General features: G+C 55.0%; 1 protein-coding gene across 2 annotated transcripts in view, besides 1 other annotated feature; it reads left to right on the forward strand.

Annotated features, from left to right (window-relative positions):
- SULT2B1 (sulfotransferase family 2B member 1) overlaps nucleotides 1-11,371 on the forward strand; it is a 47,256-nt gene extending 35,885 nt beyond the window's left edge. Inside the window, exons 4-7 of one of the 2 annotated variants that reach the window (NM_177973.2) lie at nucleotides 3,553-3,679; nucleotides 4,666-4,760; nucleotides 8,683-8,863; nucleotides 11,079-11,367. In NM_177973.2, the coding sequence (NP_814444.1) occupies nucleotides 3,553-3,679; nucleotides 4,666-4,760; nucleotides 8,683-8,863; nucleotides 11,079-11,350 (675 nt within the window). In that variant the 3' untranslated portion in view covers nucleotides 11,351-11,367. Of the gene's footprint in view, nucleotides 1-3,552; nucleotides 3,680-4,665; nucleotides 4,761-8,682; nucleotides 8,864-11,078 lie in introns of both variants that reach the window. The other variant, NM_004605.2, reaches the window with a different exon arrangement.
- Nucleotides 1,112-1,161: an enhancer, noted in NCBI's record as "active region_14898". NCBI's record gives its function as "activates an Ori minimal core promoter by ATAC-STARR-seq in GM12878 lymphoblastoid cells {active_cell/tissue: GM12878}" and the evidence as "EXISTENCE:reporter gene assay evidence [ECO:0000049][PMID:35858748]".

Here is an 11,904-nt window from a genome sequence, read left to right on the forward strand (position 1 = left end):
AAAATTAGTCGGATCTGGTGGTGGGTGCCTGTAATCCCAGCTACTCAGGAGGCTAAGGCAGGAGAATTGCTGGAACCTGGGAGGTGGAGGTTGCAGTGAGCTGAGATGGCACCACTGCACTCCAGCCTGGGAGACAGACCAAGATTTCATCTCAAAAAAAAAAAAAAAAATTACAGCCAGGCGCAGTGGCTCACGTTTGTACTCCCAGCACTTTGGGAAGCCAAGGTGGGCAGATCACCTGAGGTCAGGAGTTTGAGACCATCCTGACCAACATGGAGAAAACCTGTCTCTACTAAAAATACAAAGTTAGCTGGGCGTGGTGGCACATGCCTGTAATCCCAGCTACTTGGGAGGCTGAGGCAGGAGAATCGCTTGAACCCAGGAGGCGGAGGTTGTGGTGAGCCGAGATCGCGCCATTGCACTCCAGCCTGGGCAACAAAAGCAAAACTCCGTCTCAAAAAAAAAACCCCCATATATTATACTACATATTATAATAATTTAATAGTATTACAATATACTTTAATTATATTTAATATTTATATGTTTAACATATAATAACATAATGCAATATAATATAATACATAAAATGTCTGATGGGATAAATTTACATTGGGGGGAGAGGGCTGGAGATAGAGTTAGAGGTGGGTGTGGGGCTGCAATTATAAATAAGGAGGTCAAGGGGGCCCCCAGTGAGTAAAAACCCGGGAGGTGATGGTGGGAGCCACAGAGGTTTCTAGAGGAAGAGCATTTCAGGCAAGAGGGAAAAGCAGGTGCAAAGGCCCTGAGGTGGGTGTATCTGAGGTGCAAGAGGGAGGTCGGTGTGGCCGGAGCCAAGTGAGCAAGTGGGGAAAGGAGTGGAGATGAGGTCCGGGTGGGGAGGCAACAGGGGCCAAAATGTGCAGGGCCGCGTGGGCCCGGTGCGGACTTGAGCTCTGACCGAGTGACGAGGCAGCGCGGCAGGGATCGCAGCAGAGGAGGAGCCCGAGCGGGCTTAGGCTTCACCGGCGCCCTCTGGCGGTCAGATGGGGACCGACTGTCGAGAGAGCAGAAGCCGGGAAGCCCGAGAGGCGGCGCTGGCCGGGGTCCAGGGGAGGGGACGGTGGCTGGACTAGGGTGATGGTCACGGAGGTATTTTGAAGGTGAGACCGGGAGGATTTGCTGACAGACTGGATGTGGGTGTGAGAGAAGGGGATGAGTCAAGGGTGACTCCAAGGTTTCGGCGGAAGCAACTGTCAGGGTGGGGCAACTGGGAAGGGGAGGAGGGAGGGGAGCAGGCGGGGGAGGAAGACACGGGCTCTGCGGCGGCCCATCCCACGTCCAGCAGAGGCTGCCGGTGGGCACAGAAATGCACCCATCGGGATCTGAGGGGAGAGACTTGGGCTGACACGTCCATTTGCAATTCCTTGGCACATATATTCTGTAATTAATCGAAGCTCCAGGACTGGGTGATATCGCCAAGGAATTGAGCGTGGACAGAGCAGAGAGGGGGGGCTGCAATCAGGAAGTCCCCAAGACCACCCTCAGGCTCAACGACTTAGCAAAACTCATAGTGTTCAGCAAAGCTGCTGGACTCCCGGGTTATAGTCAATTACAATGAAAGCAAACGTGAAAATCAGGCAAGGGGGCCGGGCGCGGTGGCTCACGCCTGAAATCCCAGCACTTTCAGAGGCCAAGGTGAGCAGTTGATTGAGCCCAGGAGTTCAAGACCAGCTGGGCAACTTAGAAACACCCATCTCTACAAAAAAGTTTAAAAATTCGTCACGTGTAGTGGCATACACCTGTAGTCCCAGCTACTTGGGAGGCTGAGGTAGGAAGATCACTTGAGCCTGGGAGTTTCAGGCTGCAGTGAGCCATGATTGTGCCACAGGCACTCCAGCCTCAAGGACAGAACAAGACCTTGTTTCTTTTCTTTTTTCTTTTTCTTTCTTTTTTCTTTTTTTGAGACAGAGTTTCCCTCTTGTTGCCCAGGCTGGAGTGCAATGGCACGATCTTGGCTCACTGCAACCTCTGCCCCTCTGCCTCCAGGGTTCAAGCGATTCTCTTGCCTCAGCCTCCCAAATAGCTGGGATTACAGGCGCCCACCACCATGCCCAGCTAATTTTTTGTATTTTCAGTAGAGACGGGGTTTCACCATGTTGACCAGGCTGGTCTCGAACACCTGACCTCAGGTGATCCACCCGCCTTAGCCTCCCAAAGTGTTGGGATTACAGGTGTGAGCCACAGTGCCTGGCCGACAAGACCTTGTTTCTAAAAAATAAGACTAGGCTGGGCATGGTGGCTCATGCCTGTAATCCCAGCACTTGGGGAGGCCGAAGCAGATGGATCACTTGAGGCCGGGAGTTTGAGACCAGCCTGGCCAACATGGTGAAAACCCGTCTCTACTAAAAATACAAAAATTAGCCAGGCATGGTGGCACCCACCTGTAGTCCCAGCTACTCGGGAGGCTGAGGCAGGAGAATTGCTTGAACCTGGGAGGCAGAGGTTGCAGTGAGCTGAGATCGTGCCACTGCACTCCAGCCTGGGAGACACAGCGAGACTTCGTCTAAAACAAAACAAAACAAAACAAAAAAATCCAAGGGATTAGGAAATACCTCTCAGGACCTAGGGGCAAGGGCCAGGCCTTTCTCTGGGCAGAAAGGAATCCTCTACAGCACAGGAATCAGGAAGGAGCCCTGGAAAGCACCAATGTTATTACAAGACCTCACACCAGCAGCCACGTTTCTCTAAGTCTGTTTTCATTTAGTTTTTGGTGGATCTGGGGGTGTTTTGTTTTGTTTTTTGGTTTATTTGTTTTTGAGGCAGGGTCTCGTTCTGTCATGTAGGCTGGAGTGCAGTGGTGTGATCACAGCTCACTGCAGCCTCGACCTCCCGGGCTCAAGTGATCCTCCTGCCTTAGCCTCCCGAGTAGCTGGGACCACGGGCACGCACCACCACATCAGCTAATTTTTGTATTCTTTGTAGAATGGGGGTCTCATTATGTTGTCCAGGCTGGTCTCAAACTCCTGGGTTCAAGTTATCCTCCTGTCTCGTCCTCCCAAAGTGCTGGGATTACAGACATGAGCCACCGCAGCTGGCCAAGTGTTCTTTCTCAGCCTCCCTCCCTTTATGCCTTTGTCATTCCCTCAAGCAATTTCCAGAACCTCCTGTGTGTGGGGCTCTGGGCTAAGGCTCTAGGAACGTGTAAGACCTTGCCTGTCCTCAAGGGGTTCCTCAATCTGTGAGTAACCAACATGGTAAAACCCCATCTCTACTAAACATACAAAAATTATCCTGATGTGGTGGCACGCTCCTGTAGTCCCAGCTACTCAGGAGGCTGACACAGGAGAATCGCCTGAACCCAGGAGGCAGAGGTTGCAATGAGCTGAGATGGCGCCACTGCACTCCAGCCTGGGCGAAACAGAGTCAGACTCCATCGCAAAAAAAAAAGAGTCTGCCCTGAGTCCTTCCTGCTTCAGGGTCAGAAGAGAGGGGTCTCCAGGGCAGGAGGCCTCAGGGGCTGGGGTCTTGCCTGTGTCTGACGCCTTCTCCCCTCTCCTCACCATCCGCACACAGGTGATCTACATGGGCCGCAACCCCCGGGACGTTGTGGTCTCCCTCTATCATTACTCCAAGATCGCCGGGCAGTTAAAGGACCCGGGCACACCCGACCAGTTCCTGAGGGACTTCCTCAAAGGCGAAGGTGGGGACAGGGTAAAGCGGGGCAGGAGGGGTGGGGAGGAGCCCCAGAGGACCCTGATGGGCAGAGGGACAGAGGAGGGGTAAGAAAGGGAGAGAGACAGAGACACAGGGCATCAAAAGGGGCAATAGAGACAGAGAGCAGGTGGCCAGGAGAAGAGACGGAGGGAGAGAGGCTGAGAGACCGAAAGACACAGGACAGGCAAAGGACAGAGGAGACAGAGACAGGGAGAGACACAGATACAAAAAGACTGAGAGAGAGGGCAACAAAAGAGACAGGGGCCCGGCATGGTGGCTCATGCGTGTAATCCCAGCACTTTGGGAGGCTGAGGCAGGCGGATCACAAGGTCAGGAGATTGAGACCATCCTGGCTAACATGGTGAAACCCCGTCTCTACTAAAAATACAAAAAATTAGCCGGGTGTGGTGGCGGTGCCTGTAGTCCCAGCTACTTGGGAGGCTGAGACAGGAGAATGGCTTGAACTTGGGAGGTGGAGCTTGCAGTGAGCCAAGATCGTGCCACTGCACTCCAGCCTGGGCGACAGAGTGAGACTCCGTCTCAAAAAAAATAAAAAATAAAAAGAGATAAGGAAATAAATGCAGAAAGAGAGATGGAGTCAGAGAGAGACAGGGAGAGACAAGGAAACAGGAGGAGACAGGCCCCTGGTACTAAGAAAGGCAGCGCCCTTTGGCCACGTGTTCCTTTCTCTGCTGCTGTCAGAGACCCTGGCTTTGGAGGGAAATCCAGGTGTGTGGAGGCGGACTGGATGGACAGATAGACAAAGGCCCCCCAAGATGGGCAACCAGGGGAGAAGCAGGTTGGAAGAGCCCCAGAACTTGGTGGAAATGTGGGGGCTCTGGGGGAGGGCATCCAGCTCTGGGGGCTGGACCTGGGGGTTTGTGGGGCACAGCTAGTTAGACCCATGAGCCCCAGTGGGGCTGGGGGAACCCCGCCACTCAGCCCTCACCCCACTTGTCCCTCTGCCCACAGTGCAGTTTGGCTCCTGGTTCGACCACATTAAGGGCTGGCTTCGGATGAAGGGCAAAGACAACTTCCTATTTATCACCTACGAGGAGCTGCAGCAGGTGAGTCCCCACCTCCTCCAGGTGCAGCGTCCCCCCCATACCCTCTGCTCACACCCCACACTCTCCCCTTCCCGAGGGTCTCAGGACCCCTCCGCTTCCCCATGCAATGCGCCAGCCCCTGGGGATACTGCAGGAACAGAACAGAGGCCCTGAGCCTGTGAGCAAGACCACAGACAAAATCCCTAAACCACACAGCAGGCTGGCGGGGCAGAGGAGCTGAGGAGCAAAGGCGAGTGGGAAGGAAGATAAGGAATGGTCAGGGGCGAGATTTAACCCAGGAGGGTTGGCCGGACACAGTGGTAGTGGCTCACACCTGTAATCCTAATGCTTTGGGAGCCTGAGGCGGGAGGACCCCTTGAGCCCAAGAGGTCAAGGCCACAATGAGCTATGATGGTGCCACTGTACTCCGGCCTGGGCAGCAGAGCAAAACCCTGTCTCAAAAGAGAGAGAGAAGGCCAGGTGTGGTGGTTCACACCTGTAATCCCAGCACTTTGGGAGCCCAAGGCAGGTGGATCACTTCAGGTCAGGAGTTCAAGACCAGCCTGGCCAACATGGTGAAACCCCATCTCTACTAAAAATACAAAAATTAGCCGGGCACAGTGGCACATGCCTGTAGTCCCAGCTGCTCAGGAGGCTAAGGCAGGAGAATGGCTTGAACCTGGGAGGTGGAGGTTGCAGTGGGCTGAGATCACACCACTGCACTCCAGCCTGGGCGACAGAGCAAGACCTTGTTCCAAAAAATAGAAAGAAAAAAGATTGAACCACATGAAATGCCTGCATTCAACCAGTTTTTATTTATTTTTATTTATTTTATTTAATTAATTTATTTATTTTTGAGACAGAGTTTCGCTCTTGTGGCCCAGGATGGAGTGCAATGGCATGATCTCGGCTCACCGCAACCTCCAACTCCCACGTTCAAGCAATTCTCCTGCCTCAGCCTCCCAAGCAGCTGGGATTACAGGCATGCGCCACCACGCCCGGCTAATTTTGCATTTTTAGTAGAGACGGGGTTTCTCCATGTTGGTCAGGCTGGTCTTGAACTCCTGACCTCAGGTGATCCACCCACCTCGGCCTCCCAAAGTTTTTATATTTGGACCAGTTATATATTTATATAACTGGTCGGCCCCGCCAACTAGTTTTTATTTTAAGATGGTAATTTTGGCTGGGCACGGTGGCTCACGCCTGTAATCCCAACACTTTGGGAGGCCGAGGTAGGCAGATCACCTGAGCTCAGGAGTTCCAGACCAGCCTTGCCAACATGGTGAAACCCCGTCTCTGCTAAAAATACAAAAAAATTAGGCGGCCATGGTGGCGGGCGCCTGTAGCCCCAGCTACTCGGGAGGCTGAGGCAGGAGAATCGCTTGAACCTGGGAGCTGGAGGTTGCGGTGAGCCAAGATCGCACCATTGCACTCCAGCTGGGTTATAGAGCAAGACTCTGTCTCCAGAAAAACAAAAACAAAAACAAAAAGGTAATTTTATATGGTTTTCCCAAATGTTGTTATTATCCCTATTTTATCGACGAGGAAACTGGAGGTTTGTAACTTAAGAGAGGGTTGATAATTTGCCCAGGGCACATGGCTCTTGCCTGCAGACTCCATGTTTATTTTTTCCCAACCTGGTAACTTTCTTTTAATGGAAAGCTCCAGAAGAGGTGTCGGTGCTACTCCTCCCCCTCTTTTCCAGCAAGCATTCTTCTCCAAACCCAGAACTGGGCCACAGAGCCTAACAGCTTCTGGGCTGCCCCTGGGTGTGAGGCGCCGCCCACATGTTAGAATTTCTGGGACACGTCAGTGGTTCAAGAAGGTAAAGAGAAGGAAGGTTATGAAACCAGGAGTGACCTGGAAAATCGGAGCCATGGGGTTGGCGGAGCTGACCAGAGGGCTGACCATGCTGGGTGCTGCATATCAGAAGGTAGTGATGGCCGGGCATGGTGGCTCATGCCTGTAATCCCAGCACTTTGGGAGGCCGAGGCAGGCAGATCACTTGAGGTCAGGAGTTCGAGATCAGCCTGGCCAACGTGGTGAAATCCTGTCTCTATTAAAAATACAAAAATTAGCCAGGCATGGTGGTGCATGCCTATAATCCCAGCAGCTACTTTGGAGGCTGAGGCAGGAGAATCACTGGAACCCAGGAGGTGGAGGTTGCAGTAAGCTGAGATAGCACCACTGCACTCCAGCCTGGGTGACAGAGCCAGGCTTAGTCTCATTGTAATCCCAGCACTTTGGGAGGCCGAAGTGAGCAGATCACCCGAGGGTGGGAGTTCGAGACTACCCTGACCAACATGGAGAAACCCTGTCTTTACTAAAAATACAAAATTAGCCAGGCGTGGTGGCACATGCCTGTAATCCCAGCTACTCGGGAAGCTGAGGCAGGAGAATCGCTTGAACCCGGGAGGCAGAGGTTGCGGTGAGACGAGATCATGCCATTGCACTCCAGCCTGGACAAAAAGAGCGAAACTCCGTCTAAAAAAAAAAAGGCAGAGGGGCACAGGGGAGGACTAAGGGCTCCAGGGACCTGAGCTCCTCTCTGGCTGTGTGGCCTTGGACAAGTGTCTCTCCCTCTCTGGGCCTCTGTTTACCAATTGAGATAATGACACTTCCCTTGCAAAGCTGATGGTGGGATCGGCACAAATGTATGGGGGGCTTGGATCAGAGCTTGGTACATAGTAGACACTCAGAAAGGAAGGTGATATTTGAGCTGCAGCCGTGGCAATGGGCCCTTCTGGAAGCCCCATGCCAAGGCCCAGAGGGAGGAATGTGTAGGGAATGGTGAGTCCCAGAAGGAGAGGGTGGGAAAGGTATTGGAAGAGCTGTGACCAGACCACATCTGTTTTTTGGGTTTTTTTTTGTTGTTTTTTTTTTTTTTTTTGAGATGGAGTCTCACTCTGCCACCCAGGCTGTAGTATAGTGGTGAGATCTCGGCTCACTGCAAACTCCACCTCCCAGTTCAAACGATTCTCCTGCCTCAGTCTCCCGAGCACCTGGGATTACAGGTGCCCGCCACCACACCCAGCTAATTTTTGTATTGTTAGTAGAAACAGGGTTTTACCATGTTGGCCAGACTGGTCTCGAACTCCCGACACCTGTCTCAGCCTCCCAAAGTGCTGGGATTACAGACATGAGCCACTGCACCTGCCCCACATCTGTGCTTGAAAGCCGGGTCTGGGTCTGGGACTGTGTCCCAGGGCACTCGGGAGCCACGGAAGAGTTGGGAGCCAGTGAGGAGCAGGGTCAGCTGGGGTGTGGGGGATGAGCTGGAGGGGGATGGAGACTGGAGGCAGGAAGGCTGTGGAGCAGCCGGCTGCTGAGGCATGGATCCAGGAAGGGGAGGATGAGGCCTAAGCAGTTCTAGGCTACAGGGACACAGAGGAGGGGATATGGCAAGGGGAGGCAGGTGGGGAGGGACAGGGCTCATGATGGACAGGTTTTGGGGGTGAGGGGTACCCAGAGAGGGAGGCCAGGCTCCTGGGTGGATGGTGGGGCCATCCTGCAATGGGGGCCTGGGGGAGGAGCAGGTTTGAGATGTAGACCAGCCAATGCCTGTCTCTAACCTGAAGGAGGGTGATTCCAGGTAAGGTGATGCACTGACCTCTGCCCCCGGATGTGACCTCTGCCCCCCACTGTGACCTCTGCCCCCGGCTGTGACCTCTGCCCCCTGCTGTGACCTCTGCCCCCTGCTGTGACCTCTGCCCCAAGCCCACCTATTCCCTCCCACCTAGAGAACCCTCCAAAGACAGAAACTGCAAAAACCCTTAGAGGCGATATAGCCCAACCCCTCAGTTTGGAGTTGGGGAAACTGAGGCAAAGAGGCAGCGTCCCTCAGGCAGCCCCAGGTTAGGACCCAGACATGCGGATCCCAGGTTCCACGCTCCTTCCTTGGCCGAGTGCCCTCCCTCCGCTGACCCCTCTCCCCTGCCTGCAGGACTTACAGGGCTCCGTGGAGCGCATCTGTGGGTTCCTGGGCCGTCCGCTGGGCAAGGAGGCACTGGGCTCCGTCGTGGCACACTCAACCTTCAGCGCCATGAAGGCCAACACCATGTCCAACTACACGCTGCTGCCTCCCAGCCTGCTGGACCACCGTCGCGGGGCCTTCCTCCGGAAAGGTGCGGGGGTTCTGGGGTTCAGAGCCCACTAGGCCACTGCCCGGCTGTGTGACCTGGGAGAGTTACTTAACCTCTCTGGGCCTCAGTTTCTCACCCAGCTGTAACATTGGGTGAACAGGGTCACTGTGGCCCCAGGGTTGATCACGCACGGGGCTTAGCACTGACTCAGCACACGTGCCAGCCACCCGAGGCGTCCCCATCCAGAGAACTCCCAACGACAGCAAAACATCCAGGAGTACTGCCAACGCCAGGTTTACCCGAGAGAGATTTAGAGTCTTCATGAGTCCTCCTCGACGGCCATGTTCACGGCAGAAATACTCAAGCCCTGGGTTACGGGGCGCAGGCGGTAGCATAGTTGTTTCCTCTTCCTGCTGTAACAAAAACACCGCAAACTCCATGACTCAAAACACGTTTACTCTTTTTTTTTTTTTTTTTTTTGAAAGAGTCTCGCTCTGTCGCCCAGGCTGGCTGGAGGTTGCAGTGGCGCGATCTCGGCTCACTGCGACCTCCACCTCCCAGGTTCAAGTGATTCTCCTTCCTCAGCATCCTTAAGTAGCTGAGACTACAGGCACCTGAAACCATGTCAGGTTAATTTTTGTATTTTTAGTAGAGATGGAGTTTCACCATGTTGGTCAGGATGGTCTCAATCTCCTGACCTTGTGATCCACCCGCCTCGGCCTCCCAAAGTGCTGGGATTACAGGCGTGAGCCACCGCGCCCGGCCTTTTCTTTTTTCTTTTTTGAGACGGAGTTTCACTCTTGTTGCCCAGGCTGGAGTGCAATGGCGCGATCTCGGCTCACTGCAACCTCCGCCTCCCAGGTTCAAGCAATTCTCCTGCCTCAGCCTCCCAAGTAGCTGTGACTATAGGCACCCACCACCACGCCTGGCTAATTTTTTGTATTTCTAGTAGAGACAGGTTTTCACCGTGTTAGCCAGGATGGTCTCGATCTCCTGACCACCCGCCTCTTCCTCCCAAAGTGCTGGGATTATAGGTGTGAGCCACTGCGCCCGGCCAAGTGAAGCATCTTCTAATCTCTGACCCTCCTCCCTTCTATAGGGACCCAGGTGATGACACTGAGCCCACCCAGATACTTCAGGGTCCTCTCCCCATCTCCAGATCTTTAGCTTAATCCTATCTGCAAAATCCCTTTTGCCACATAAGGTCACATATTCACAGGTTCCAAGGATTAGGACGTGGATATGGAGGGAGTCTTTATTCAGCCCACCCCAGGGAACCCCTCCCCACAACCTCATTAAGGGTGCTGGGTAACATGGGGCACGTGCACTTGCCAAAAGGCAAACTACGGTCCTCTGAATGCCATGAGCCCCAGGTTTCCAGGTGAGGGGTGATGCCCCTGTGATAGCCCCACAATGAGAAAACTGAGGCTTGGGAGGGGTGCCGTGGCTCACACCTGTAATCCCAGCACTTTGGGAGGCCGAGGCAGGTGGACCACCTGAGGTCAGGAGTTTGAGACCAGCCTGGCCAACATGGTTAAACGCCATCTCTACTAAAAATATAAAAATTAGCCGGGCGTGGTGGTGCGTGCCTGTAATCCCAGTTACTCGGGAGGCTGAGGCAGGAGAATCGCTTGAATCGGAGGTTGCAGTGAGCCGTGATCACACCACTGCACTCCAGCCTGGGCGACAGAGCGAGACTCCATCTCAAAAAGAAAAAAAATGGAAAACTGAGGCTTGGAGGGTTCCTGAGGCTCGCTTGCTGCGCCAATCAGCAAATTGTTTGCAAGCCCTGAGCACAGAGCCTGCAGAAGGGGGTCCCTTCCATGTCCAAGCAGTAATGGCTGCAGCATGGAGCGTTGTGGGGGCATTGAGACAGGAGGCCTTGTTCTAGCAGGGGAGGTTTGGGACTGGTCGCAGAGGAGGTGACACAAGCTGTAAGGTGGGCAGGAATTCAGGGTTGGAGGCAGAGGTTCTGGGCAGAGACTTAAAGGGTCCGGGATAAAGGGGAGGACTGGCAGGAATCCTGCAGTAGCAGAGGCAGTGAGGGCGGAGGTGAGAACGGCGCCAGGTGACAGGCCAAGACTCTGCCACCATAGGACACAAAGGGGGCAATGTGGAGGGTAGGGAGGACGGTGTTTCTGGCAAAGGGAACACCTCGCCAAAGGCCGGGAAGGGGAAGGAGGTTGCTGGAATGTTGGAGGTAGGGGCGCAGTGCTCCCCAGAGGCTCCTCACCCCCTGGTGCCCCCTCTTCTCCAGGGGTCTGCGGCGACTGGAAGAACCACTTCACGGTGGCCCAGAGCGAAGCCTTCGATCGTGCCTACCGCAAGCAGATGCGGGGGATGCCGACCTTCCCCTGGGATGAAGACCCGGAGGAGGACGGCAGCCCAGATCCTGAGCCCAGCCCTGAGCCTGAGCCCAAGCCCAGCCTTGAGCCCAACACCAGCCTGGAGCGTGAGCCCAGACCCAACTCCAGCCCCAGCCCCAGCCCCGGCCAGGCCTCTGAGACCCCGCACCCACGACCCTCATAATAAACACGTCGATTCTGTCCAGGTTCCTTGATGCGCTGTGGCAGGGCAGGCAGCGGGGCGTGGAGAATCCTCACCACACCAAGGCTTCCAGAGGCCGGGGTCCCCGACTCAGAGTCCCGCCCAGAGGCAAAGGTGCTGCAGGAACCCAGCGCTGGGCATCTCACTTCCCGGGGTGGGGGCCTGACTCCCCAGTCTGAGGGAGGAGGGGGCTGGGGGCCTGGACTCCTGGGTCTGAGGGAGGAGGGGCTGGGAGTCTGGACTGCCGGGTCTGAGGGAGGAGAGGGCTGGGGGTCTGGACTCCCGGGTTTGAGGAAGGAGGGGCTGGGAGGCTGCACTCCCGGGTCTGAGGGAGGAGGGTCTGGAGGCTTGGACCCCTCAGTCTGAGGGAGGAGGGGTTGGGGGCCTGGACTCCCGGGTCTGAGGGAGTAGTATCTGGGGGCCTGGAGTCTCGAGTCTGAGGGAGGAGGAGCTGGGGGCCTGGACCCCTGGGTCTGAGGGAGGAGGGGGCTGGGTTGTGGACTCTTGGATTCAGAGCCAGTCTTTAGTAACGCACG

This window comes from Homo sapiens, chromosome 19, assembly GCF_000001405.40.
Source record: "Homo sapiens chromosome 19, GRCh38.p14 Primary Assembly".
Classification (NCBI taxonomy): Eukaryota; Metazoa; Chordata; class Mammalia; order Primates; family Hominidae; genus Homo; species Homo sapiens.